This window comes from Homo sapiens, chromosome 6 (assembly GCF_000001405.40).
Source record: "Homo sapiens chromosome 6, GRCh38.p14 Primary Assembly".
Classification (NCBI taxonomy): Eukaryota; Metazoa; Chordata; class Mammalia; order Primates; family Hominidae; genus Homo; species Homo sapiens.
Genome location: NC_000006.12, coordinates 157,940,027 through 157,967,538, shown reverse-complemented (window position 1 = coordinate 157,967,538; position 27,512 = coordinate 157,940,027). Strand labels below are relative to the sequence as shown.

The 27,512-nt window shown below is 45.0% G+C and overlaps 1 protein-coding gene across 2 annotated transcripts in view, besides 2 other annotated features; it reads right to left on the bottom strand.

Moving 5' to 3' along the window:
- Positions 3,089-3,431: a transcriptional cis regulatory region, noted in NCBI's record as "candidate enhancer chr6.5510 targeted for multiplex CRISPR interference". NCBI's record gives its function as "positively regulates SYNJ2 gene expression with high confidence in K562 cells {active_cell/tissue: K562}" and the evidence as "EXISTENCE:mutant phenotype evidence [ECO:0000015][PMID:30612741]".
- Positions 20,146-20,195: a silencer, noted in NCBI's record as "silent region_17730". NCBI's record gives its function as "represses an Ori minimal core promoter by ATAC-STARR-seq in GM12878 lymphoblastoid cells {active_cell/tissue: GM12878}" and the evidence as "EXISTENCE:reporter gene assay evidence [ECO:0000049][PMID:35858748]".
- The window catches only part of SNX9 (sorting nexin 9), a 121,832-nt gene continuing 116,781 nt past the window's right edge, over positions 22,462-27,512 (bottom strand). For both annotated transcript variants that reach the window (NM_016224.5, XM_011535886.4), the window contains 2 exons: positions 26,565-26,656; positions 22,462-24,748 (listed from right to left, as the gene is read on the bottom strand). In NM_016224.5, coding sequence (NP_057308.1) covers positions 24,701-24,748; positions 26,565-26,656 — 140 coding nt within the window. In that variant the 3' untranslated portion in view covers positions 22,462-24,700. The remainder of the gene's footprint in view (positions 24,749-26,564; positions 26,657-27,512) is intronic.

Sequence of the window (27,512 nt, the reverse complement as noted above, 5' to 3'; positions counted from 1 at the left end):
GAAGTTCATTATAAGTTATTAGTTTTTGTAAAAAAAAAAAAAAGGCATATGAGGCACTATCTGTCCATATCTACACACACGCAAGACTTGACTTACAGCCTTACGACTGGATATAGAGACTGATCTCTCAGAGGATTGTACCCGAGTCAGCCCAGGAACAGGGGCTTTCCAGACACAAATTATCTTCTCTACTCCTGCTCAGAGTGTGCCTGGCAGCCACAGGCTACCGTTCACACTCTGCAAACTCTAGGCCCTGGGGTTGGAGAGTGTGGGGCCTCCCTCTGTCCAGGTCCCTGGGTCCCTGCATGTTCCTTCCTCCTGGTCTGTTGCTGAAAGTCAACAAGCCTGTTGGTTGGGTTGCTATAGAGACTGCAGGTGCCTGTGGGCTCTGGGGACCGGGGAGCTTTATTCACCTCCGTGGCCGAGACCAAGCTCCCCACACAGGTGTGCCAGCCTGTCGGCCAGGCCCCAGGCCCCAACCCAGCATCACAGCTGGAAAAACAACCCAAAGCACACCTGTCCCAGGTATGTGGGAAAGAAGGGGGCTTTCACATGCCAAGAACAGCAAGGTGTGCTTGTCCTTAATAGAAACATTGTTCAAATCAGTTCCACATTGGAGGGGAACCTACTAGGGACAGGATGAGTTTTCAGGCTGGGGTCTGGCTGTTCCATTGTTGTCAACTGAGGAAGCTCACCAGGACCTCTGACAATGCAGGTCTGTCCCTGAACCCCCAGGCCCAGCATGGGAGCTGGGCCAACAGACGGGCAGGGAAGAAGGGAGGGCACCGCTGCCGAGCGCCTCCTCCCCAGCGTTCCCTCGCAGAAGGAGGAACAGGACTCCCAATGTGCCCTCGATTCGGGGGCTGGCAGGCCTCCTTCCTGTCTGTCCTTAACCTTCTCCAGAAATACCCCTTTTCTGATTGGCCTGCAAGATTCACATGGGGAGAAAATGCCATGACTATTTTATAAAAAGGCCTGCACACTGCACATTGTCACTTCAGAGACCGAAGTAAAAAGTTACAGGGCGGAAAGGTTTGATGGAACATCCAGAAGACCTTTCTGGCAATTCTAGGTGTGCCATGGAGAAAGGGAGTGCCTTGGGTGGGAGCAAGCTCGCCTGCCCTGGAGGGAGGAGACAGGCTGAGCCGTGACTGTGGCTGGAGCGGCTGAGAAAGGAGTCCTTTTACGATGTTTATGTATGTTTAAAAATGTTCAAAATAGAAATTAAAAAAAATTATTCCTACATTTTGCTTCATCATATAGTTTTGAAAAGTAAAGCAAAATTGCAAATTACTATATGGTAATTTCCTTTTAAGAAAAATCAATTTAGTTAAGTCTAAATATATAGCCTATAACATATTATAGCGCTTCATACTATCAGGAACAAAGTGTACTTTGGAATTAGGTGTACTTTAGAATGCTTTGGCTGGAAGTAACAGAAAACTCAACTATTGAAGTCTTAAATAGGCGGGTGTGGTAGCTCACGCCTGTAATCCCAGCACTTTGGGAGGCCGAGGTGGGCGGATCACCTGATGTCAGGAGCTCGAGACCAGCCTGGCCAACACGGTGAAACCCCATCTCTACTAAAAATACAAAAATTAGCTGGGTGTGGTGGCAGGCACCTGTAATCCCAGCTACTCAGGAGCCTGAGGCAGGAGAATCGCTTGAACCCTGGAAGGCAGAGGTTGCAGTGAGCCAAGATCCTGCCACTGTATTCTAGCCTGGGCAACAAGATGAGACTCTGTCTCAAAAAAAAGAAACAAACAAAAAACAAACAAAAAAAACCCACCTGCCTCCGCTCACCAAAAAAGTCTTAAATAAACAAGAAGTCTCCAGGTAGGCCACCCAGAGCTGGGGTAGCACCTCCTCAGTGTCATCAAAGACCCAAGCAAGCTGGTTCTTTCTCTTCATGATACCTAGCATGTTGGCTTGTTGCCTCACGATCACAAAATAGTTGCTCCAGCTCCAGACATTACAGCAATATTCAAGGTAGAAAGAAGAGAGGAATTCACACCAACTGTATCTGTCCCTTTTATAAGAAAAAGGCAAAAGCTTCTCTCTCTGCAAGTCCACAACAAATGTCTACTTAAGACTCTTCGGCCAGAATGGTGTCATGTGGCCTCCATTAGACACAAAGGAAACTTTTGCAGCCTTTTCAGTTGAGATGGACAAGAGAGAAAGCAGTTAGGAATGAATGAGTTTGGGTCAGATGGCCAACAATGTCCTCCATGTCTAGTGCAGCCAATATCTGATAATCAGTCTTGTTCTTTTAGTGTAAGGCTTAGCACTGCCTTAGAAACTTCGTTATAAATTCTTTCTCCAAATTTATGATAATACTATGATTCCTATTAAAATGTATTCCTATGAAAATATACCTCCTATTTTCATTTTTTTCCACGTATTTCCTCTCCAGGGCAATCATGGTAAAGTAAATAGGACAGGAGTTATTTCTGATTTGTGTAGAATGCTGAAGTCCTGATAGGATTGCTGTGAGGCACTGAGTCTCCAAACTGCTCGCCTAGTGGATTGTTGTTGTTTTATTTTATTTTTTATTTTTTGAGATGGAATCTCACTCTGTCACCCAGGCTGGAGTGCAATGGCGCAATCTTGGCTGACTGCAACCTCTGCCTTCCGGGTTCAAGCCATTCTCCTGCCTCAGCCTCCCAAGTAGTTGAGACTACAGGTGTGCGCCACCATACCAGGCTAATTTTTGTATTCTTAGTAGAGATGGGGTTTCGCCATGTTGGCCAGGCTGGTCTTGAACTCCTGACCTCAAGTGATCCTCCCGCCTTGGCCTCCCAAAGTACTGAGATTACAGGCATGAGCCACTGCGCCCGGCCTCATTTTATTTTTGAGACAGGGTCTCATTCTGTCGCCCAGGCTGGAGCACAGTGGTGTGAACAGGGCTCACCGCAGCCTCAACCTCCTGTTCTCAAACAATCCTCCCACCTCAGCCTCCCAGGTAGCTGGGACCACAAGTGCCTAACTTTTTATCTTTTGTAGAGATGAGGTCTCACTTTTTTGCCCAGGCTGGTCTCCAACTCCTGGACTCAAGTGATCCTCCTACCTCAGGCTCTGAAAGTGCTGGGATTACAGGTGTGAGCCACTGCACCCAGCCTCACCCATTGTTTTTTCTGTTGGCCACACTGCCTCTCTGGTTTCATATTTTATCTCTTTGAGACAACTTGTTTGTCTACTGCATTGCTGTCTAATTCAGCAGAGTTAAGAGGGTGTCCTCATTTGCTGACTAATGCACAGATCGCTGTTCCTCTCACCATAGCTCTAGAAACAGCAACTTAACCACTGTACCCGTGGATAGATTTCTACAGCAAATGTGGAAAAAAAGGGAGAGTGAAATAAAAAGCCAATAGCAATGAAAAAATATTACAGCACTTTTGCAGATCAAGCTATGTGACTATTTTAACCACAAAACCGAACACGAATCCTTGTAAGACATAATAAAAATGAGAGCAAAAAAAAGGATCTGCCGCGGTTTCGTGTGCACGATAAAGAGGAAAATAGAGCTCTGTCCGAGGTCAGCCACCTCCCTTCCGTCTTTGGAGTCCTCACTTCTGTAGCACCTTAAAAAGGTATTCTGCTCAATCTTCAACCAGAGCATGGCTTTTGTCCTATAAAAGTGCCCCCACGGTGTGTGTTTTTAAGTAAATTGATATATTCGGACTCAGTGGGCCGAGCACGATGGCTCACGCCTGTAATCTCAGCACTTTGGGAGGCTGAGGTGAGTGGATCATCTGAGGTCAGGAATTTGAGACCCAGCCTGGCCAACATGATGAAACCCCACCTCTATTAAAAATACAAAAATTAGCCAGGCATGGTGGCAGTTGCCTGTAGTCCCAGCTACTCGGGAGGCTGAGGCAGGAGAATGGCTTGAGCCTGGGAGGCAGAGGTTGCAGTGAGCCAAGATGGCGCCATTGCACTCCAGCCTGGGCTACAGAGTGAGACTCTGTCTCAAAAAAAAAAAAAAAAAAAAAAAAAGAAAAAAAAAAAGAAAAAGAAAAGAAAAAAAAGACCTGGTGGCATGTGAGCAGGAAGACTCCAGGCCTGGCCCCATTTCAGGAGCTGCAGCTGTTTTTAAGGCCAACTTGCTTCCTGCCTGAGCGATACCCAGTGGCCCACTGCTGGCCTGCGTGGATTTATTTAGACAGTAATGTTGACCAGACAGCCAGAATTTTCCCACTCTCTTTACTTCCGGAAGGGTTTGCTCATAATTAGTTAAATCAGCTTTCTCTGCCTCTCAGTGCCAAGATGTTTATAGAAATCTCACTACTTCTGCTGTTGGCTATACTTTTCATCCTCTTTGCCACCACAACGTTCCCCATTGTTTCTAAAACCCTTCATCCAAAAACCTAAAGTTCCTCACTGAGCCAAACAGGGCAATTGGCTTTGAAAGGGAACACACCTGTTCAGCACAGACTTTCTCTCCTTTCTCCTTGAGGCTCATCTACTTGCCATCTCTCCCCTTCTTGAGCGCCAGAGGGTGAGCAAAGATCTTGGATTGGCTGTCGCTTGCCGGAGCTGTTCTGCGCCAGAAAGATCCTCCGGGCGCCCTTCACAGTGGTGGCTTGGGTTCAATACTGTCTTGCTCAGACAGCTGACCTGCTAATCAGCCCGCACCTTTGAGGACTAAGAGGAAACTGACCTCCCCTGACCTGTGAAAGTATCCATCCCTGCTTCTCCATGACACACTCCTTCAGCGCGTGTGTAGTCAGAAAAAGGAGAGGAGGAGAAGCAGTTCCAAGAAAAATAACAGGATGTGGTTGATGAAATATGAAATATGAAATGAAAGTCTGGTATGGTATGGAAACTGACTTTGTCTTTTTTTCTTTTAGACAGAGTCTCACTCTGTCACCCTGGCTGGAGTGCAGTGATGCGATCTCGGCACACTCCAACCTCCTCCTCCCAGGTTCAAGTGATTCTCCTGCCTCAGCCTGCCGTGTAGCTGGGATTACAGGCACACACCACGATGCCCGTTTGGTTTTTTTTTAAATTTTTTTATTTTTAATAGAGACGGGGCTTCACCATGTTGGCCAGACTGGTCTCAAACTCCTGGCCTCAAGTGATCCACCCACCTCGGCCTCCCAGAGTGCTGGGATTACAGGCATGAGCCACCGCACCGGGCCTGACTTTGTCTTTAAGGCAGTGGCTCCTAACCTTTATTGAGTCACCCAGATCTTTAAGAATCTGATGACAGGTACAAATCCTTTCCCCAGAAAAAATGTAAAATATGCACTTGAACAATTTGCCTAAAGTCTCACATGGTTCATTGGTACACCTTCCCCCAACCCCCCAGAATTATCTGGACCACAGGTGACAAATTCCTATTTTAAGGCCAGGTGTGATGGATCACACCTGTAATCCCAGCACTTTGGGAGGCTGAGGAGGGTGGATTGCTTAAGCCCAGCGATTTGAGACCTGCCTGAGTAACAATGGCGAAACCCCGTCTACAAAAAATACAAACATTAGCTGGGTGCGGTGCGGTGCGCCTGTAATCCCAGCTACTCAGGGTCTGAGGCGGGAGGGTCCTTGAGCCTGGGAGGTCAAGGCTTCAATGAGCCAAGATTACACCACTGCACTCCAGACTGGGTGACAAAGTGAGACCCCCATCTAAAAAAAAGAAAAAAGAAAAGAAAGAAAGAAAAGATTCCTATTTTAGAAGCTTGTACTTGTAATAGTACCCCTTAAAGGTGGTTGGAATATAAATCTTAACTACAAATAAATTCCCAATGACATTAGGAAATGCAGAGTTAATATCATGCAAAAGAAGAGGATTAGGAGCTGGGAGCTCCTCAAAGAAAAATTTTAATTCACCAGCGGTCAATTCCTCTCCTGTTGTGGCTATATACCTCCCATTTATGCTAATGACTTTGCTACCCTCTGTGTAGATGTGTGGCAAGGGAAGAATAATCTCTTCTCAGTTGCAACCAATTGATCCATCTGGAAGTGATTTAAACATCAACAAAATAATTCAATCTCACAAAAATCATTTGTTTTGTTTGCATTTGCAAATTCATGTTTTGCTTTGCTTCCTCTTCCTCTGCATTTTAGAGTGGATGAATAGTTTTCTATATGGCACATCTTCAAACACTCCTGCTTCATTACACCAATACATTTTTAGACATGTGTTTAGAGGCAGAGTGAGCACACACTCTGGCTCAAAAAAGAAAGAGAGACAAGACCAGTCAGGACAGGCAGGAATAGTTCCTGCTGCATAACACGCAACTCCAAGTCTCAATGGCCCAACATAGTAGGAGTTGATTTCTTGCTTGAGCACATTCTGCTACAGGTCTGAGCGGCCATCCAGGCCGTCTCTCCTCTGTGTGCTGGCTCTGCCTTCTAAGCTGCTGCAACTCTTCGGCCCCTTTATGCCAACGCTTAGTCCCATCATCACCATGGGAAGTGGGAGGACAGCTAGAGGGATGAACATCGCAATGACATGCTTCCACCTGGAACCATACACATCTCCCCAGCTATGTTTTTCTGGCCAAAGTGAATCACATAGTGATGTCTGGTTTTACAGAGACAGGAAAGCATGAGCCATGGAAGGGGTTCAGAAAAGCTGACAACCAAAGGATAGAAAAGCTGTAAGATCTACTACAGAGACTGCTGACACATGCTTGGGAATTAGAACAAATTTTGAGAAATGTCTGTTAAGATGTTCTCTGTGAATGGGAAAACTACCCTTGCCCTAGATTTTAAAAATAAATCAGGCTGGGCTCACGCCTGTAATCCCAGCACTTTAGGAGGCTGAGGCAGGCAGATCACTGGAGGTCAAAGTTTGAGACCAGCCTGGCTAACATGGTGAAACCCCGTCTCTACTAAAAATACAAAAATTAGCTGAACGTGGTGGTGAACTCTTATAATACCAGCTACTCAGGAGGCTGAGGTAGAAGAATTGCTTAAACTTGGAAGGCAGAGTTTGCAGTGAGCCAAGATCACACCACTGCACTCCAACCTGGGCGACAGAGCAAGACTCTGTCTCAAAAACAAAATAAATAAAATAAAAATAAATCATGAGTGTTCTACTTCCAGCCATGATGGTGTAACAGACGGCAGTTTACACCTTCTCTTATCCTTAGATAAAGAGAAAGCCAGACCCAATATATGAAAAATATATTCAGACACTAGATGTCAGGCAGTGCAAGACTTTGATCACTGGAGAAAAGAAACAAACAAGATGAGACCCATGAGGGCTCCGCATTACTGTCTGAGGCAGTTCCTAAGCCCAGGAAAGGGAGGGGAAACCAAAGAGATCTCAGTGGTCTCACTGAATGGAGGAGACTGATCAGAGTTTGGGGAGGCCAAGGTGGCTAGAGTTTGAAGGGCAAAGTGTGGGAGTGAAGGGAGCTACAGAGAGAGAGAGAGAGAGAGAGGGAGACAGAGACAGACAGAGAGACACAGTCCATTCAGACTGTTATAACAAAAATACCATAAACTATGTAGCTTATAAACAATAAACATTTATTTCTCACAGTTCTAGAGGATGGGAAGTCCAAGATCAAGGTAGCAGCAGATTCAGTGTCTAGGGAGGTTCCATTCCTTATAGATGGCAACTGTGTGCTGCATCCTCACATGGAGGAAGGAGCAGACAAGCTCCCTTGGGCCTCTTTTATAAGGGCACTAATCCCATTCATGACCTAATCACCTCCCAAAGGCCCCACCTCTTAATACTATCACCTTAGGAATTAAGATTTCAACGTATGAATTTGGGCAGGACATGGACATTCAGACCATAGTGGAGGGTTTGTGTGTGTGTGTGTGTGTGTGTGTGTGTGTGTGTTTGTGTGTGTTTGTGTTTGTGTCTGTGTCTGGTGTGTGTGTCTATGTTTCAGAGAGAGAGAGAGAGAAATTGCTTGTTTTGGAGGTCTGCTGAAGAGTCCCCTAGAGAGACTTTGCTGAACATTGTATGCACTCATGTGAGAAAACTATGTGAGGATAGTGATCATAACCACCAAAACTCCACAGGCAGGCCAAACAATTCCTGGGACTCACAGGGCTGGAAATAGATCATATAATCACCAGCCAGAGTGTGAAGATATCTTAATACAGGGCATCTGGCAGGATCCACTTGGTAGGAAGACAAAATTAGTTCTACCCAAAGAGACTGCTCTGATCCCACTCTATAAAATTTAAAAGCAAACCTTGAAAGGATCAAATTGATTTCAAATTACTGAACTACATGCCAGAAAAAAAGCTGAACACTATTTAAAAGAATACAACAAAATCCAGCACCCAGCAATGTAAAATTTTACAATGCCAACATCTAACCAAAAACTACCAGGCACGCAAAGAAACAGGAAAATATGAACATCACCAAGAGAAATATCAATCAACAGAAAAGACCCAGAAATAAAATACATGATGGTATTAACAGACAAAGACTTTAAAACAATTATTACAAATATATTCCATATATTCATGAAGGTAGGGAAAAATAGAAACATAAATGAGGAGAGAAATTAATAATATAAGAAAGATCCAAATGGAATTTACTAGAGATAAAAATATAATATCTGGAATAAAAAATACATGACATGGGATTAACAGCAGAGAGATGCTGCAGAAGAAGACATCAGTGAGCTTGAAGACATAGCAATAGCAACTGTCCAAAAATGAAGCCCATTGAGAAAACAAATTAACAGAGAATCCAGTGATCTGTGGACAAGATCAAGTGGTTTAACATGTATATCTCTGCAGTTTCAGAAATAAAGGAGGGAGAAAGGAAGAATATTTGAAGAAATAGGGCCAACATTTTTTCACATTTAATGAAAACTTTATAGCCATAGATCCAAGAACCTTAACCAAACCAAAGCAGAAGGTGCATGGAGAAAACTATATTAAGGCACATGATAATCAAATTGCCGGAAACTAGTGACAAAGAGAAAATCTTTAAAGCAGGTCAGGGAAGGCCAGGCACAGTGGCTCACGCCTGTAATCCCAGCACTTTGGGAGGCCAAAGTGGGCGTATCATGAGGTCTGGAGATTGAGACCATCTTGGCTAACGTGGTGAAACCCTGTCTCTACTGAAAATACAAAAAATTAGCCGGGTGTGGTGGTGGGCACCTGTAATCCCAGCTACTTGGGAGGCTGAGGCAGGAGAATGGCGTGAACCCAGGAGGCAGAGCTTGCAGTGAGTGGAGATTGCACTGCTGCACTCCAGCCTGGGTGACAGAGCGAGACTCCGTCTCAAAAAAAAAAAAAAAAAGCAGGTCAGGGAAAAAAAAACCCATTGCTTACAAACGAGCAAGGTAAGAGTGATGGCAGATTTGTCATCAGAAACTATGCAAGCCAGGAGACAATAGAGTGACATCCTTAAAGTACTGAAAGGAGGCCAGGTGTGGAGGCTCACGCCTGTAATCCCAGCAATTTGGGAGGCCGAGACGGGAGGATCAGGAGTTTGAGACCAGCCTGGGCAACATAGCAAGACCTCTTGTCTGCTAAAAATAATTTTAAAAAAGATTAGCCAGGTGTGGTGGCATGGGCCTGTGGTCCTAGCTACTTGGGAGGCTGAGGTGAGAGAATTACTTGAGCCCGGGAGCTTGAGGCTGCAGTGAGCCATGATCACACCACTGCACTGCAGCTTGGGTGCCAGAGCCAGACCCTGTCTCAAAAAAAGTACTGAAAAGAAAAAGAAAGCAATCAATCCAGAATTCTATCCTGCATAAAATTTCTTTCAAAATCAGCTTTTCAGACAAACAGAAACTGAGAGAATTAATTAACTAGGGAACCTACATTCCAAGAAATGTTACAGGACACTCCTCAGGTAGAAGGAAAATGGCACTAGAGGGAAATTTGGATGTACACAAGGATTCGAAATGATAAACACATCAGTAAATGTAAAAGACTTTTTTATAATTGAAAATACTCTTTAAAAGATAATTAACTGTGGCCAGGCGCAGTGGCTCATACCTGTAATCCCAGCACTTTGGGAGGCCGAGGCGGGCGGATCACAAGGTCAGGAGATGGAGACAAGATGGAGACCATCCTGGCTAACACGGTGAAACCCCGTCTCTAATAAAAAATACAAAACATTAGCCAGGTGTAGTGGCGAGCACCTGTAGTCCCAGCTACTCGGGAGGCTGAGGCAGGAGAATGGCATGAACCCGGGAGGTGGAGCTTGCAGTGAGCCGAGATTGCGCCACTGCACTCCAGCCTGGGCAACAAAGCAAGACTCCATCTCAAAAAAAAAAAAAAATTAACTGTTTAAAGCAAAAATATTAACAGTGTATTTTTGAGTTTATAGTATATGTAGAATAAAATATATGACAACAATAAGGTACAAGAGGGGAAAATGGAAGTAACATATTGTAAGGTTCATAAGCTGTGTATGAGGTGGCACTATTATTTAAAAATAGACGATGATAAGTTAAATACATATAGCAAAGAGGGAAAAGGGAGGTTTTATTGGAGGTAAAATAAAATCATAAAAAGTACTCAATTCAAAAGAGGGAAAAAAAGGAATGAAGAACAGATTGAACAAATAAGAGACCAATGGCAAGATAATGGATTTAAACCCAGCCATGTTGATAATCACATTAAATATAAACCGTCTAACAATAATTGGGTGCTTTACGACTCCAGTTCAGGAACAAACAAATATAAATAAATTGTATGTAGGAAGGAAACAGTGAAGACTTTACCCTCTATAATGGAAATGACTATAACAGTGAAATGCTTCCACCCAGAGGCACAAGAGCCCCTCAAAGCTTTAAGCCCTGGCTGCTGCTTGGTCTCTTCAGCTCTTTTTTATTAATTTTTTTTATTTTTTAGAGACAGGGTCTCACTCTGCTACCCAGCCTGGAGTGCAGTGGTGTAATCATAGCTCACTGCAGCCTTGAACCCCTAAGCTTGAGCCATTCCCCCTGCCTCAGCCTCCCAAGTAGCTGGGACTACAGGCATGCGCCACCATGCCTGGCGAAGTTTTAAATGTTTTCGTAGAGTCAGAATCTTGCTATGTTGCCCAGGCTGGTTTCAAGCTCCTGGCCTCAAGTGATCCTCCTGCTTCGGCTTCCCAAAGCACTGGGATTACAGGCATCAGCCACCTTGCTTGGCCTCTTCAGGCCCTTGATTCAAGAAAGCAGAAGGCAAGGAGGGGAGTCACCATCCTGTTGGAAAACTGACCAGTTGTCAGGAGGCTGTCATTCGTAGGGCTGCTTTTCCAAGACAGGGGCAGGGAAGAATACGCTTGGCACCAGGTAATCTATCGAGGGTCCCTGGGTGCTCACGTACTCCATTTGCATGGCACATAGATAAGTGCACGCATGTTTCAGAGGGGGCACGAGGAGGCACCCGTGTCAGGAGGTTCAGTTGAATCACTAAATTAGAGTGGTACAGGCCGGGTGTGGTGGCTCATGCCTGTAGTCTTAGCACTTTGGGAGGCCAAGGTGAGCAGATCACCTGAGGTCAGAAGTTTGAGACCAGCCTGGCCAACATGATGACACCCTGTCTCTACTAAGAACACAAAAATTAGCCAGGCATGGTGGCGGGCCCCTGTAATCCTAGCTGCTTGGGAGGCTGAGGCAGGAGAATTGCTTGAACCCGGGAGGCGGAGGTTGCAGTGAGTCAAGATCACACCATTACGTTCCAGCCTGGATGACAGAGGGAGACTCAGCCTCAGAAAAAAAAAAAAAATTAGAGCAGTACAAAGGCACTGTTGTACAACTGCACTACTATCCTCCACATGCATGTGTGGCAGGGCAGGAACTCTGCAATGTAAAAGTACATTTTTTCCCTTTGTAATTCACAAGTAATCTGTGGGCTCATACGATGGCACCTTGAAATGAACTTTTGCCTAATTGTTTAAGCATCAATTAATGACTCCTGCAGAAATAACGATTCCACTGGTGGTTGTAAATGGTCTTTTAAAAATTCTTTTTCATTTTCGAGACAGAGTCTTGCTCTGTTCCCCAGACTGGAGTGCAGTGGCGCAATCTTGGTTCACTGCAACCTCCGCCTCCTGGGTTCAACCAATTCCCCCTGCCTCAGCCTCCCAAGTAGCTGGGATTGCAGGTGCCCACCACCGCATCTGGCTAATTTTTGTATTTTTAGTAGAGGTGGGGTTTTGCCATGTTGGCCAGGCTGGTCTTGAACTCCTGACCTCAGGTGATCTGCCCGCTTTGGCCTCCCAGAGTGCTGGGAATACAGGCGTGAGCCATCACGCCTGGCCGTCTTTAAAAAATTCTACCGTTTCTATACATCTATGAGCAGAAAATTGGTAGATGAGGAAATTCCCTTCTTTGACCAAGATAAATTGATGGTCCTCCTAAAAAGGGAGAGAAATGCTCAGTTCTTTTCCTTTACTTACTGTATCTAGGTATCTACTCTTCTTCAGAGTGCAGGGGCGAGAACAGCTGTGCCAGAAAGCCCCTCCCGGCGGTGGGGCCCTCTCTGCATCACTTAGAGAATGGCAGGAGCTTGGGCCCAGGCAGGGACTCCCGGCTTCTGTTGGGGGCAGCACCTCTCTAGTACAGCCTCCCTGGGACTGCCTCCCACGTGTCCCCCTAGGTGGCTCGGACAGTCACAGTTAAGGGCAGGACAGAGTGTGTCCTCAGACTTCCCGCGTTCATCCCTCTCTCAATCCTGAGGTTCGAAAGTGGGAACCAGGCGTTGCCACCAGGTGTGTTCCCTCGGCTGCTCCAGGCGCTTCTTGTCTAGCAGGAAAGAAAGGAGGGCTTCCGAGTGGAGGTGGCCCAGGTGAGTTTCTACAGAGCCCTCCTTATCTCAGAGGCGGCAGCAAGCGCTCACTGATGCCCGCAGCAGGTGACAAGCGCGTGAGGGCGCCAGCTCTCCTATCATCATCATAGTCACTGCTTCCACAAACACGGGGGTTAAAGTCCAGGAGCCGCCGCTCCCCTGCTCCGAGCCTCCCGAGCACCTGATCAATTCCAAGCCTGAGTAAATAGTTTTGATTCTCTTTGCCTTGACAAACTCTGATCCTTCACACAATGATAAGCCTCTGGATAGTGAGGGAGTTCTGAAAGCTTCCTACTTCCCTCAAGGAGGTATTTGTTAGGCTGCAGAAAAGGAAACCGGTTCTTTCCAGGTTTTTAAAACATTCTTCCCAGTTCTTTGGCATGTGAGTTCCTGTGACCGCCGCAGCTACGTGCTCAGCAGTGCAATCTCAGAGAAGTCCAAACTGCCAGAGACTCTGCGCTTATTGCTTGGACAGTAAAGCCAGTATCATGTGATATAGTTTGCCTGGAAAATTACCGTGAGGCATGTGGCAGACCCAAAGAATGAGGACCGCACCTTGTTAGTAATAAAATCAGGTCCTGGCGCTGGAGGCTGAGCCTTCTGAGGGCTTGCAGCTGGGCGCCCGCCTGCTCCACTTCCTTTTCTGGAGGGAGTTGCGTGATTATCGGCTTCTCACGCTCTGTTTGCCTAATTTAGATTATTTTTAAAATTAATTCTGTCCTCTGAGCAGCTACCAGTATATTTTGGGGGGTCAGGTATGAGTAGTGGTTTTCTATTTTGTTTTTTTTAAGCTATCAGATAGAAATAATGACTGAGTGCAGCGGTAAAGGGAGGGTAGTAGTAGAAGGTAGTAGTAGAATCACATGCAGGAAATGAGCTCTGCTGACGTGATCCCACTCACCAGACCCTTCCTTAGACAGAGAGGGGAGCAACGTCAGGTGAAATTCAATCCACTCCATCTAATAAGGGCTAGTGATGACTGCACTGATTGGTCTGGGCCTCAAGGAGATGCCATGTCTTAGCCTGAGAAGGACCACAGTTAGCTGAAGGGACAGCAAGCAGACAGGCCACCAGGTGGGACACAGCAGGCTGGGTTCAGAGAACGGAAGGAGCCCAGGATGTCAGGAGAGATGACACCTGCCGGTGCTCCATGTTAATCCTGGCTTTGAGCCGGGCATGGTGGCTCACACCTGTAATCCTAGCACTTTGGGAGGTCGAGGCAGGAGGACTACTTGAGGCCAGGAGTTCAAGACCAGCCTGGCCAACGTGCTGAGACCCCATGTCTACAAAAAAATTGAAAAAATTAGCCAGGCTTGGCGGTGGGTGCCTGTAGCCCCACCTACTTGGGGAGGCTGAGGTGGGACAATCAGTTGAGGGAGGTCAGGGCTGCAGTGAGCTGTGATTGTCACTGCACTCCAGCCTGGGTGACAGAGCAAAACCCTTTCTCTAAAAAAAAACCCCAAAACAAACAAACAAACAAAACTCTCACCACCCCCACCAAAAGAAACCAAACCAGCTTTGCTCCTGAGAGTCACCAGAGCGACACTTGGTTTGCATTTGTCGCAGCTCCTCTGGCTGCCTAGAGTGGCGGGAATGGGTTATTTATAGAGGACTAGTTTGGATGCAGAGATAATTAAAGGGGTATCACAATGATTCAGGCCAGAGATGACAGTGGTGTGAACTAGCAAGGAGGGGCAGAGATAGAGCAACATGGGTGAATTACAGAAATGTTTCCATGGTAGACCCACTGGCTTGGAGATAGACGGGAAGCAGGGCAGGGGAAGATGCCCAGGTTTCTGGCTGCTGACTGGAGGGTGGTGCCTCTCCCTGGGCTCCAGAACAGGAAGGGAATGACTCAGAGAGTGAGCACACACAGGACACAGTTGGTTTCAGGGCGGCCATGGGACCTCCAGGTGGGGACAGTGAGTGGACAAGGACAGGCGCGGATGTGCAGCTACCAAGAAAGGCTGCTATACAGACCCACATTTAAGAGTCAAGAAGGCCGGGTGCGGTGGCTCATGCCTGTAATCTCAGCATTTTGGGAGGTCAAAGCGGGCGGATCACCCGAGGTCAGGAGTTCAAGACCACCCTGGCCAACATGGTGGAACCCCCGTATTTACTAAAAATACAAAAATTAGCAGGGCATGATGGCGAGTGCCTCTAATCCCAGCTACTTGGGAGGCTGAGGCAGGAGACTCCCTTGAACCCCGGAGGCGGAGGTTGCAGTGAGCTGAGATGGTGCCACTGCACTCCAGCTTGGGTGACAGAGTGAGACTCCGGCTCAAAAAAAAAAAGAGTCAAGGAAAGGGTGTCCTGAAATCAAGGCTGTCACTGTAATTACCTAGGAAGAGAAAGCGAGTACAGAGGAAGGAGAGAATCGAGCCAAGGACAGAAGGAGGTATATAAGCAGATAATGTAATATTTTCAAAGTAGTTTCTTTCCATCTTTTTCTTTACATGCACTGTTTTTACATAGCAGGAACCTTACTGGCTGTACAAAAATACAAACTGGACCTGCAGGTGTGTTTCTGCTCTTGGCATTAGCTTTCCCTTGCTGCTTTAGAACTACTTTTATAAACATAATTTTTAATGGCTGCATAATTCCACCATTTACTTTTTACATTTAAGAAGCCACATTTGAAGCTAGCTTGATAAAGTCATAAGCAAGCAACGGTGAGAAATGGAATAAGGGCAGGTGTGTGCAAAGGTCAGGGAACATTGTCGGAGCTACTCAATGCTGTGGGGGGTGGGGTCAGGTAAGCTTGATGTCGCAGTTGGACACAGCTGCTGTAACGAAATACCTTAGACTGGATAGTAGCTCACCATGCTACTGCAGCGGAGGCTGGGATGTGCCAAATCAAGGTGCCGCAGATGCAGCGTCTGGCCAGACCTCTCTGCTTCCAAATGGTGCCTTGTTGCCACGTCCTCCACGGCAGAAGGGGTGGAAAGGACTAGGACACTCCCTCCAACCTCCAAAAGGCTCCACTTCTTAATACCATCACATTGGGTATTAGGTCCCAACATGTAAATTTTATGGGGACACCCACATTCAGACCATAACTTGGGAAGGCAAGTGGCATTTGAACAGGGCCCTGGGACACAGGTGGCCTTCTCAGGGTTCAGTCAGTGCCCACTGAAACTAGCTCAGTCCTCAGATTCCCCTCCAACCTAGTTAGCTCTATTTTTTTTCTAACTTTTGTGGGTACATAGTAGGTGTATATATTGGTGGGGTACATGAGATGTTTTGATGCAGGCATGCAATGTGAAATAATCACCTCATGGAGAATGGGGTAGCCATCCCCTCCAGCATTTATCCTATGTGTTACAAACAATCCAGTTACACTTCTACTTGTTTTAAAATGTACAGTTGTTATTGACTATAGTCACGCTGTTGTGTGATCAAATAGTATGTCCTATTCTATTTTTTTTTGTACCCATTAACCATCCCCACCTCCCCACCTTCAGTCTCCCCACTACACTTCCCAGCCTCTGGTAACTATCCTTCAAGTCTCTATGTCCATGAGTTTGTTCTAACTTTTAGTTCCCACAAATGAGTGAGAACATGAGATGTTTGTCTTTCTGTGCCTGACTTATTTCACTTAACATAATAATCTCCAGTTCCATCCATGTTGTTGCAAATGACAGGATCTCATTCTTTTTATGGCTGAATAGTACTCCATTGTGTATATGTACCACATTTTCTTTATCCATTCATCTGTTGATGGACACTTGGGTTGCTTCCAAATCTTGGCGATTGTGAACAGTGCTGCAACTAGCATGGGAGTGCAGACATCTCTTTGATATACTGACTTCCTTTCTTTTGGGTAGATACCCAGCAGTGGGATTGCTGGATCATATGGTAGCTTTACTTTTAGTTTTTTGAGGAACCTCCAAACTACTGTCCATAGTGGGTGCACTAATTTACATTCCCATCAACAGTGTATGAGGGTTCCTTTTTCTCAAAATCCTCACTGGCATTTGTTACTGCTTTTTAGATAAAAGCCATTTTAACTGGGGTGAGATGACATCTCATTGTAGTTTTGATTTGCATTTCTCTGATGATCAGTGATGTTGGGCACCTTTTCATATGCCTGTTTGCCATTTGTGTGTGTTTTGAGAAATGTCTATTCAAATATTTTGCTCATTTTTTGATCAGATAATAAGATTTTTTCCTATAGAGTTGTTTGAGATCCTTATATATTCTGGTTATCAATCCCTTGTCAGATGGGTAGTTTGCAAATATTTTCTTCCATTCTGTGGGTTGTCTCTTCACTTGGCTGATTGTTTCCTTTGCTCTGCAGAAGCTTTTTAACTTGATTTGATCCCATCTTTCCATGTTTGCTTTGGTTACCTATGGTTTTGGGGTACTGCTCAAGAAATTTTTGCCCAGACCAATGTCCTGGAGACTTTCCTCAATGTTTTCTTGTAGTAGTTTCGTAGTTTGAGGTCTTAGATTTAAGTCTTAAATACATTTTAATTTGATTTTTGTGTATGGCAAGAGACAGTGGTCTAGTTTCATTCTTCTGCATATTGATATCCAGTTTTCCCAGCACCATTTAAGATACTGTCTTCCCCAGCATATGTTCTCAGCACCTTTTTTGAAAATGAATTCACAAGTGTGTGGGTTTGTTTCTGGGTTCTCTATTCTGTTCCATTGGTCTATGTAGTTGTTTTTATGCCAGTGTCATGCTGTTTTGGTTACTATAGCTTTGTCATATAATTTGAAGTCAGGTAATGTCTTGTTCTTTTTGTTGAGGATAGCTTCAGCTATTCTGCATCTTTTGTCATTCCATATAAATTTTAGGATTTTTTAAAATTTAAGAATGTTGTTGGTATTTGGATAGGGATTGCATTGAATCTGTAGATTGTTTTGGGTAGTATGGACATTTTAACAATATTTTTTCTTCTAATCCATGAACATGGAATATTTTTCCATTTTTGGTGTCTTTTTCAATTCTTCATCAGTGTTTTATAGTTTTCATTATAGGGATCTTACACTTCTTTGGTTAATTCCTAGGTATTTAATTTTATGTGTGGCTATTGTAAATGAGATCACTTTTTAAAGTTTCTTTTTCAGATTGCTCACTGTTGGCATATAGAACCACTACTGATTTTTGTATGTTGATTTTGTATCCTGTAACTTTACTGAATTTATCAGTTCTATAAGTGCTTTTGTGTGTAGACTCTTCAGGTTTTTTTCAAGTATAAGATCATATCATCTGCAAACGAGGATAATTTGACTTCTTCCATTCCAATTGGGATGCTTTTTCTTTCTCGTCATAGCTAGGCTGTGTTAAGTAGTGAAAGTGAGCATCCAGATCTTAGGGGAAAGGCTTTCAGGTTTTTCCCATTTAGTAATGATACTATCTGGGGGTGTGTTGCATATGGCTTTTATTATGCTGAGGTATGTTCCTTTTATCCCTTTTTAAAGGGTTTTTTTTTTTTTATCATGAAGGGATGTTGAATTTTGTCAAATGCCTTTTCAGCATCAATTGAAATGATATGATTTTTATCCTTCATTCTGTTTCGATAATGTATCACATTGATTTGTTGTGATACATTACAAATGTTGAACCATCCTTGCATCCCAGAGATAAATCTCATTTGGTCATGATGAATGATCTTTTTAATGTATTGTTGAATTCGGTTTGCTAGTATTTTGTTCAGGATTTTTGCATCAACATTCATCAGAGATATTGGCTTGTAGTTTTCTTTTTTTGATGTGTCTTTGTCTGGTTTTGATATCAGGGTAATACTGGCCTAGTAGAATGAATTTGGAAGTATTCCCTCCTCTATTTTTTGGAGTAGTTTGAGTAGGTCTCCCTATGTTTTACAACTATACTTTAAAAATACTTTGTCTTTTCAGAATCAAACCTATAAAAATTCTTATGAGAAAACACATGGAGAAATCTTTATGATAGACCTTGTAGACATCATGCTAAGTGAACTAGGTCAGTCATAGAGAATATATATCAACTAATTCCACCTATGAGGTCCCTAGAGCAGTCACAGTCACAGAGACAGAGAGTAGAAGGGTGGGTGCCAGGGTGGAGACGAAGTGGGGAATTACTGTTTAATGGGTATAGGGTTTCAGTTTGGGAAGATGAAAAAGGTCTGGAGATGGATGATGGTGATGGTTACACAACAATGTAAAAGTACTTAATGCCACAGAACTGTGCACTTAAAAATGGCTAAAATGGTACATTTCATGCTATGTATATTTTACAATAAAATAAAAAAATCTTTGTCTTAATTACCCCATGACGATGGTGCATTAGTGCTCACTGATGTAGTCAGAAATAAAAGCTAAAGAAAAATTTCACATCTAAATGTCCAACTCTTGGAAACTGGTATATAGACTTATGTGTAGGGTCATTATGAAGACTGCCATAGCATGAAAAAAACACAAAGAAAGCACAGATAAAGGATACAAAATTACATGAGACCACAATAATCAACCAATTTACATAAGAGAGATTCCCAATAGCCAAATTTGGGACAAATGAGGATCTAAAAATTATGTGTGTAAATAATTGTAATACATGGAATAACAGAAATCCATGCCTCCGTAAGATACTGAAACAAGGGAAAAAGAGCATCTGCCACCTTTGTAGGTGACTCTGTCAGGGTCACCTAGGGGGACACTTGGGAGGCAGGCCTTGGGAGTCTGTTTCAGAGGTGCTGCCCCTGGCCTGGAACCATGTCCCTGCTCTTCTCTAAGTGATGTAGGGAGGGTCCCGCAGGTGGGAAGGGCTTTTGGATGCATCTGTTTTCATCCCTGCACGCTGGAGATGAGTAGACAGCAGCTCACTGACTCGTTCAAGTGACAGGTATTGGCATCAGAGTTAGGACTCTTGGTTCCTGACAATTCAAATATCTTTACATTACCAAGTGTTTCTTCACTGGAAGGAAAGTCTCCAACCTTCTGACGATTCCCACATCCCATAGTATAAGCAGGAAATGAGATTTGTATGTGGAAAGGCAAATCAGTGCCTGGTTCGTAGCCGGTACTAATGAACGTTTAGTCAACACGTGATTTGGGAAACCAAATCTAACAGCTTAAATTTTTTTGGATTATAATACAACCTCATTGTAAAAAAAATTCAGAAAAACACGACTTTATAACAAAGATCACTCCTAATTACACCCCCAAAGAACAAATGGAGAAGCTGAATCCTTAATAGCCCATGGCCTACCTCCTAGCCCCAGTTCTGCATTTTTAGAGATTTCCCTGTCACTCTATTTCTGGGCCTCTTAGATTTTATTGATAATGGCTTTTTATCCTTATCCACAGGCATTTGAGCTCCTTCTGAATGTACCTGAAAATACCTATTGACCACAAGGCAAATAGCAGTTGTCTGCTTTAAAGCAGGGCTTCTCAACCTTGACATTACTGATGTTTTGGGCAGATAGTTCTTTATCACGGAGGCTGTGCTGTGCACTGTAGGATCCACTAGATGACAGTAACACCCCTCAGTAACTGTCTCCAGAAACAGCCAAGTGAGTCCTGGAGAGCACAAGTACTTCTGGTGGAGAACTACTGTTTTAAGGACAACTGATGGAGCTACCTGTTCCCTGCAGCCTTGGACATTTAGTGGTGGCAGCCACCTACGCCCATGCTCACCACCACCTCGTACCCAGCAGAGCAGTCCTTTCCAGCTTGCTGGCAAGCTAGCATGTTTTCAGTACAGCCAGTGGCTTCTCTCCAGAATTAATGACTTCCCCTAAGCCCACCTCTTGGCCTCCCTCACCCAGCACTAGGTACCTCCTCCTCTCAGAGTCGAGCCAGGTGGGAAGTTCCCCAACCTTTGAAGAATAGTGCTTCGACAGAGTGGTTCTTTCAAAGCTCACATGGTTCCTGGAGTCAAGCTCACATGACCTCACTCTCATTCTGTCTTCAGAGTTCTACAAATCCTACAGAATGATTCACTGGACTTGGCAATTTTTTCTAAGATATGGATCCCACCCAAAGACCTCTGAGCTTATTGTCAAGTCAGAAACGAAGCCATCCTCTCCCCATGGGGATTCATGGTCTTCAGACAACCTTGCTTTTTGTCCGTTGAATTGCCAATGGCATTCAAAACATTCTCATTTCTGCTTTGATGAAATCTCAACTTGCTTGTTCTTTTCTACTGTATGCTGACGGGGTGTGAAAGACCATTCCTCATCTTCCAACAGTCTAGGCTAGTGTATGTCTTTTTGGTGGCCTTATTCATTTATTCTGTCATTTAAAAAATGTTTTCTTACAAAAGCACCTGCTGGGTCAGGGATTTGATGTTGCCCTACTTACAAGCAAACGTCTGTTACTGTTCCATGGATACTGGCAGGGGACATGAGACAGTCTCCTGGGTCAGGGGCAAAGGACTTGATAAGCCATGACACAGCAAGTAACACAAACTCCAGTTCTCCTTGCCCTGCCAGTCCCCTGGTGGAACCTTGAGTGGCCAGAGGGTGCCTGCTCAGACAGTGGGTTTTTAGAGGAGGACCTGGAGCTGGAAAACCCACTGTTTTACAGCAAGCAGCAGGCAAGCCCATACTCCTTCCAAAACATGACCTTGTCCCTCAAGTAGCTTGCTACAGATGCAGTGTGGAGGGGCGGCCTGGGTGAAGAGCAGTCAGGGCTCTGTGTTCTTGACATAGCCAGCAAAAAAGCCAGGTGGAGTGCGAGAGACCCACGGAAAATATTCTCCCAAAAGGGGAACTCATTCTTCCTACTTGCTTGCGGAAAGGGATTTAAAATCGAACAGGTTGGGAAAATTGAGTTACACACACACAGGAAAAACAGGGCCATTCTCACCCATCACTGTTCAGTTCTGCTCAGCCATCACACCTTTTTTACTTTGACTACTTTATAGACTGTGAGGTTGGGTGTGGTGGCTCATGTCTGTAATCCCAGCACTTTTGGAAGCTGAGGTGGGCAGATCACCTGAGGTCAGGAGTTCAAGACCAGCCTGGCCAACATGGTGAAACCCCGTCTCAACTAAAGATACAAAAAAAATTAGCCACGCATGGTGGTGTGCGCCATGGGAGGCTGAGGCAGGAGAATCCCTTAAACCAGGAGGCAGAGGTTGCAGTGAGCTGACATCATGCCACTGCACTCCAGCCTGGGCCACAGAGTGAGATTATCTCATAAATAAATAAACAAGACTGTGAGATTCTGGATTCCCAGTTGTTAGGCAGGGATCTATGGATTTAGTGAAGATGTAGACCAGTGGTGCCGGGAGAGGCTGCCATGCACAGCCTGTCAACGCTGCCCACCGGGGGCGGGGGGATGGGGGGTGCCCACAGACCATCTCCCTGGGACTGAAGCCCATGACAGAAGTAGATCATGCTGTCTCTTCTCTATGTGAGTAGACCCACGAGTCTCATGGCCCCTTCCAGTATCCATGGAACAGCAACAGACTAAATTACTTGCTTGTAAGTAGGGCAACATCAAACCCCAGACCCAGCAGGTACTTTTGTAAGAAAACATTTTTAAAATGACAGAATAAGAAAATGAATAAAGCTACCACAAAAGAAAGAAAGTGAATAAAGTCACCAATAAGAAAATGAATCAAGTTACGTTGTTCCACCCAGTGCCTCTGTGAGTCATCTTTCTTGGTGACCCCAACACCTACAAACCATGCAGTGGGTTGACATCCCGGGACTGCTGCTCCTGGTGGGAGGCAACTGACGTCACTTGCTTGACAACGAGACTGACCTTTTCTTCCACCACGCCTTCATCTCTCCTCTCCAAATACTGACTTTTTTTCCACTATATTTGTAAAAGTTATGTGATTGTATGACTACAGCTCTTCTGTGGTACCTACAGGTTGATACAAATCATTAAAAATCAAAACATCAACGTATCTAAGAACCAAATGGTGCATGTGACTCCCCGGAGAAGGATATATATGCCATGTTGCCACTTGAAGGAGAATCTTCCAGGCATCAAATCCCGTGGATTCTCTTATTTTCTTTCACATTCCCTCTGCTTTTCCTCACAGTCGGCTACCACGCTCTGAGGAGCCCGTGCCATCTCCATTTCCCCCATCCCTTTTTCACTTTGCCTCACACCAGTCAAATCCAAATATCCGAGAGTCAGACACTGGGAGACTGTCTGCTTCTTGGCAACTCCCAGGTGGTTATGATACGCTTCCCGGACCGCAACACTGACCTACGGAACTGAAATGATGAATTCATGTCAGAAGAAATAGGATTTGGGGAAGAATTCATTACCTGGACCATTTTCAGCAGCTGGAATAAAAAGTACTTAACAACAACAACAAAAATCACACACAAAGTCCAAAAAGTGTTTTGAAAAAGTGCTTTGAGAATTTACTGTACAGTTTTTTTAAACAATTTATTTATATGTTGGCTTCTACATGCTCTTACATTCGTGTAAAACATTTATACATATTCTTTACAATTTGTACATATATTAAATGGCTATAGCATAAACATTGTTCTATGGGATTTTATAGAAGAAAAATCAAGTGGGGAGAATTACTTATGAAACATTAACAAAAACCCGTGATATTGAAGAACAAGATGTTCTCATATTCATTTGATTTCATCTACTTATTTTTGGTGTCATTTTATTGATGCTGGCCCAGACTTTCCATTTCCCGTAATTATTAGGTCAGAAAAATGAAAGCAGCGGGAGGGAACGCGGTAAGGCACCTGTGGGAGACGGGAGCGCTCCTCCGCAGGGGTGAGACGGTGGCTGCCAGTGTTGAGTTCGAGCTGACGGTGTGCCAAGGTCCTGTTTTGCTTTATGCCGTTAAGTGAAGCGCTGGAAGTGCTGGTGCTCAGAAACACCCTGTGTGAAGTTTCGGATGTAGTCGGGAAGGGCGCTGGTCTGTTCTTTCTCTCCAACCTCAGAGCGCCGGGGACTCTGTACACTGCTGAGGCTGCAGCCCTTCTCAGTCCCTACACTTTTCCATCTAATGGGGAGCTAACCTGTGCTTTTTCTCTTTGCTGATGACACCAACTGGCCATGAACCCGCCACCCAAGCCAAGCAGTGTGCCGTGGCCACAGCAGCGCTTCTCATCACGGTGGATGAGGAGCCAAAGAATAAGAAAGGGCCAGAGACGCCGGGGTGCTGGGTGCCCTCCTTCTCCCAGGCCCTCCCGAACACAGGCCTCCGCACAGCCACTCACCCGTTGGACCAAAGCCACAAAATTCTCTACAAAGTCCCTCAATTCTTCTAATGTATTCTTCATGGCATAAAACATGCCTTAACCAAGATTAGGAAGGAAGTGCAAAGAGAGAAAGCACTGGTCCTCACATAAGAGCAGCACATCAGAAATGTCGCTGAGGACATGGGTGGCCAGGGGTATCTGCTCATCTGCCAGGCTGTGGGGTCCCCCTGGAGGGACATGGGATGGCCCACCTGCCACACACCACGATGGCACTAGCAGCCCCAGGGGCCCCCAGCGTCCTCCCTCTTGAAGTGTAAGCACTTGAGCTGTAACTGTGGCAGTGAAAGGCGTAACGACTTCCCTCAATGACAGGAGCCCCAGAGGACTGAAAGGAGTTATAAAAATATACAAACATAGATATTTTTTATTCTGGCATAGTTCATGTTTTTAAGAAAGTAATTAGTAATTAATTATCTGACACTGGGTAAGAACTGGAAGATTGTGGGAGACTTATAAATTATATAAGACTTATAATTTATAAGACATATAAATTATGACTCTATGTAAAATATCAGTGGGGAGAAACCCCTCATTTTCCATTGAAAATTCTGGTAACTTTTAAGTACTTTCCAAAAATAGAGACAATTTCCACTGGTTTAAATAATGGATGCGGAAATGAACAAAAGACCATCCCTAAATAACTGACGCATTTAGGGTGGCTAATAAAATAAATGCAGTTTTTTGCAACTCTTTCTTTTTGGTTTTGTTTCCTTTTTTTTCTGAATAATAGGGGAAAAAAAGTTTTGAATTGCATTGCCCCAAGTCAGGAGAAAGCACGCGGCATTCTCTTCAAGGCCCGTTCTGTCCTACATCACTGGAAAGCGGCTGAGGGCCTGCCTCAGCTTTTCTGCAATCTGACAAGAAAGCAAAACAAAACAACGTTGAGATATCACTCCCATTACGACCTCACAGTGTTCTTTATTCACAACTCCAACAAGTTAAACATGACACAAATTCCAATTCTTTAACTGGTCTTTTTGGCACCAGCCCTGCCCCGCGTTGCTGCTGGACAGACCTTAACCCCGAATGACACCGGCAGCGCTGGGGCCCGAGCTGGCCCTGGTGGTCCCTTCCCGCCGGGAGGCGTCTACACATGCTCCCCACCTCTGCCCTAGCGGCGCTTCCAGACCACCTGCTTTTCCTCAGATGAGCTGGGGGCTCAGGCCTTCATGTTTGCCTAGAGCCCCCTCTTTCCTGGAGGAGTATGAGCTTCCAGAATCCCCTGAAGGTTGTGTCGCCCTGGCCACACCCTGCTGTCACTGCTGAGTGTGCAGACAGCACGAGCCTGCCTGTGAAGCTAACGAGGCGCTGCAGTGGTCTCTGCGCCAGGGCCTCTTGCTCCTTGAAGGCACAGCTGTCTTATCCATCCCTGGATGCTAAACATCCAGCACGAGGGCTTGGTATATAAGAAACACTCAATATATGTCTGCTCCATGAACACATACACAAATTTTAGTAACTTAAGGGTTACTTTGCCATAAAACTTAGATCTAAAACCTAACAATGTTATATCAGCTACTTAGGTTTATGCAAAGACAGTGATGAAATACATGGTTTTCTATTCTGAATTACAATGTCACTATACCATACCTGGACTTGAAAATCAATAAATCAACACTATCAAAATTTTGAGAGTTGCCCTTGCATTATTTTCTCACACAGACAAATGTAATCTGTTATATTCTAATATACAATGAAAGGCAAATCCACAATGGCACCAACTGACGGGAAAAGTGTGCATTTAAAGAGCATAGGGCCCACGTCCTGTAAGGGAGGACAGGGCTTAGGTGAGTTCCTCCCGTAAGTTAGTCTCCCAAACCAACTGTCCAAGACACAATTCACAAATATGCATTAGGTACATCAAGCACAGTTCTCCTTTAAGAACTGGCTGCTGGAGACAGGCGTTTTCAGCAGTGTCCAGCTCGCAGATGCCACCAGTATGGCTGAGCAGAGGGCTTGCTCACCACTCCCCATGAACATGGCTTAGATCCCATGGCCAGAGGGGAGCTGGGTAGGCAGCAAGGCCGCCAGCGGAGGCTGGATTCTACATTACAGACCTTACCTGCAGGTGTCTGAGGGAGACATGCTACTAGATTTTTGTTTTCTATAGACTCTGGTAAACAACAAAATTACTAAGCAGAGGTAAGAAAAATTTAAGTTTTCGTTATTGTTTTGTGAATAAAACCATCCCACATCTCGCTTTTTTGGTTTTCTCTCTGCGATTTCCATGGCGCACTGTGAAAACCTCATTCACAAAAAGCAAAGGCTGCCTTTGGTTTCCTGTGTGGTGCCAGGCTCCTGTTCCAGCTGCCAACGGAGTCCCAGGGACGGCTGGGTGACCTCATCTCATTCAGCACCGTTCCTGGTGCACAGAGGCACAGAGAGGCTGTGACGGGGGGAAGGAGCTGCACAATAAGGAACTTCTTGGGGCCTTGCAACTAGCATCCAAGACCCCTGCTTCAGAAGAAAATCTTTTTTAACCCAGTGTTATCCAAAAAGCAAAGGGCAGATGGAATTAGGAGATTAAAAAAATCCTGTCCAAAATTTAGGCTCCTTTGGTTTATTACTTAGGATTAAAGAATACAAACAGATTAACTTTACATGGTCAAAGTGGTTTACCAGGAACCCTCTCCTCAAGCACATGCGAAAGGCACGTGGACGCCCACTCACCGTTTCGTAAAATTGCACTTGCTGCTCCAGGTACAGGCGGATGACACTGTTGTAATCATAGATCCGGTTACTGTGAAAGTGATTCATCTCAGCTACAACCCAAATCAGAACATCAATCAGTTTTCCCTCAAGTTTTCAAATGACAACACCTGGTTTCTCTGCTCAGTTACAATTAATCATCAACCTGACCTAATCTGGTTGGCTGCTGTTGTCAGTTCTTGGTAAATCACTTTACTAAGAGGTTAGAAAAACAAGTTGAGCTGGGCGCAGTGGCTCACACCTGTAATCCCAGCACTCTGGGAGGTGAGGTGGGTGGATCACCTGAGGTCAGGAGTTCAAGACCAGCCTGGCCAGCATGGCAAAACCCCATCTCTACTAAGAATACAAAAATTAGCCGGGCATGGCAACAGGTGCCTGTAATCCCAGCTACTTGGGAGGCCGAGGCAGGAGAATTGCTTGAACTCAGGAGATGGAGGTTGCAGTGAGCCGGGATTGCACCACTGTACTCCAGCCTGGGTGACAGAGCGAGACTGTCTCAAACAAAACAAACAAAACAAAACAAGCTAATGACAAACATTACTTTCCAGTAAATGAATGACTTTCACTGTCTTGCATATTCAAAACTATAAAATCCAATACAGATAAATCACCCAAATGCAGCCTATTACTCTAACAGAATCGATCAAATAGAAAATACTTGGTCATATTTGTTACAGATGACTGCAGTTCAAAGCCTCTGGTGTGTCTGCACTGGACCTAGCAGGCAGCTGGGGTCCCTGCCCCGCTCCCTCCTGCACAGCAATTGCTTCAGCAGGTTTCTGGTGAAAGGCTGGGCAGCGTGTGGGACAGCGGGAGACCCTTCTTCAGTACGGGAAGCCTTGCTGCCCCTGAGCACCAGCGACGCTGTCAGAACTCAACCTCTCACAGGGCAGGAGGACTGGATGCTGA